The sequence below is a fragment of the Homo sapiens genome, chromosome X, assembly GCF_000001405.40.
Source record: "Homo sapiens chromosome X, GRCh38.p14 Primary Assembly".
NCBI lineage: Eukaryota > Metazoa > Chordata > Mammalia > Primates > Hominidae > Homo > Homo sapiens.
Window position 1 is genome coordinate 45718362 of NC_000023.11, and position 2225 is coordinate 45720586.

Genomic DNA, 2225 nt, shown 5'->3' on the forward strand with positions numbered 1-2225 from the left:
ATTCTCCAAATCACAACTGGGGTTGGAAAATGGGAGAAATTAAAACTGCATGAATATCCAATTTAATTGGGTGGGTGAAGTACTGGGACTCATCTGAAACTGCCTTGCCTTGGAATGAGCAGGTGCTTACCAGAGTGGAGGAGGGTCAACAAACACATCTAAAAGACAAAGACTGCATCAGAATTAGTGGTGAGTATATTGACAAACATTTTTTGGCTGACAGAGTCATGAGGCAGCACTTGGAATCAAGTGAAACATAGCGGGAATTACTACAATTTTCCTAATGGCATCAACAGATTCTATAGTCACTTCTGGCTGGGGGAGGGAGAAAGAGGTGTGTATGTGGTTGGCTTCTAAGAGCAGGGTATGTTTTCATTCACTGTTCTCGTATGATGTTTTTCCACACCAGGCTCACAGCCCTTTACAATACCAAGGCTCTATTCCTTTGTGTTTTTTGAAAAAACAGTGTGGAAAGAGTTTATTCTGATTCTTCCTGTTCCTTCATTCAGTACCCACTAAGTATTTGGCCTTCCTTGGGCTGCTCTTAGAAGCCTAACCACAGGCATAGATACCAGATGAAGGATGGTATTTGCCTGTGAGAAACAGTGTGGCTAGAAATAAAGAATAATTTTTAGAAATTCTCTAGACTTCAATATTGCTTCATTTGCTTTCTTTTCTTAAATAATAATCAGAAATAATTATATATTGGGGAATGTCATACAGAAAAGGTTGGTAAAAATTGGAGATGGTCAATTTGAATAATTTATTCAACATTTATTGAAGCCTGATATGTAAAAAGCTGTGCTTAGCCCTTAATTGCAAAGCCTGAAACTATGGAACTACGAAAAAAAAGTGGGAAATGCTTAATGACATGGATATAGACAATGGTTTTTTGGATAAGACCTCAAAAGCACAGGCAACAAAAGCAAAATTGGACAAAAGGGACTATATTAAACCAAAAAGCTTCTTCACAGCAAAGGAAACAATCAGCAGAGTGAACAAACAACCTATAAAATGGGAAAGGATACTGGCAAACTATACAAACTACATGGGTTAATGTCCAAAATATGTAAGGAACTCAACTTAAAAGCAAGAAAACAAATAACCCTATTAAAAATGGGCAAAATACCTGAATAGACACTCTGTAAAGAAGATATACAAGGGGCCAACAGGTATATAAAAAATGCTCCACATTACTAAACATCAGTGAAATGCAAATCAAAACCACAATGAGATATCACCTTATACCTGTTAGAATGACCCAGGCCTTGCTTTCAAGAAGTCAGCAGCCTGTTAGAGTAGAAATTACCAGCAGACAAATGGCTAGAACAAAAAACAGTAAAAGCAGAGACCTAAGATTGGGTTAGCATATTCTGAGTTTTCCTCAAGTCCTGCAGGCCACATGCAAATTACTTTCTAGTGGACACTAGTGCCACCATAACAGATAGCCAAAGTCACAAAATGCCTTCAAGACGTGTATGTGGAAGAACACAGAGCAGGCCAGGTTGGTGGGATCCCGCTGCTGATAGGAGGTTGTGGTAGATTATTAAAAATGTCTTCCCATGAGTCATGTCTTCCTGTATCCATGCCCTTTTGCAATGTGCTCCTTCCTTGATGTGCTTCTCCCATCAAGAAGTGGCATTTCTTTCCCCTCCCTTTGAATATGGGCTGATCTTATGACTTTCTTTTATCAATGGAATGGTCAACTTTACGTCCCATGAGCAGGATTTGTTCGACATAATGAGTACTTCCTGAATCCAGGTCTTTCTGAATCTAGGAAAAAAAACATTTTCTCAGCCCTTCAATCCCTTTACAGTGTTACTTCTTTTGCTATACTTCATTGTCAAACATTTGTTGTCTCTCTCACATCCAGATAGGGCCTTGTGGTTAGTTCTCATTACTAGAGTGTGTGGAAGTGATGTGTCACTTTGAGGCAGTTAAGAGGTGGTGAGCCTTCTCTATGTTCTCTCTACCTACCCTCTCTGTAAGCAGATATCCCCAGATGACTATGAATCCATGTGAAGATAGTGGAGCCCCAGTGAAAGGAGTTTGATGCCTGACTTATTGCCTGGAGCAGAGTCTCCACTGTCAGCTGGTATTACATAGTGATGTAAGGGAGAAATAAAAATTTATTATATCAAGTCACTGACATATGGGGATTGTTTGTAACAGCAGATCATATAACCACTCGTGTTGGTAAATGTTTACCAACTGGATGTTCAAAT

General features: G+C 39.2%; 1 annotated feature.

Moving 5' to 3' along the window:
• Positions 211 to 505: a silencer, noted in NCBI's record as "tiled region #14703; HepG2 Repressive non-DNase unmatched - State 24:Quies". NCBI's record gives its function as "represses a minimal TATA promoter and a strong SV40 promoter by Sharpr-MPRA in HepG2 cells {active_cell/tissue: HepG2}" and the evidence as "EXISTENCE:reporter gene assay evidence [ECO:0000049][PMID:27701403]".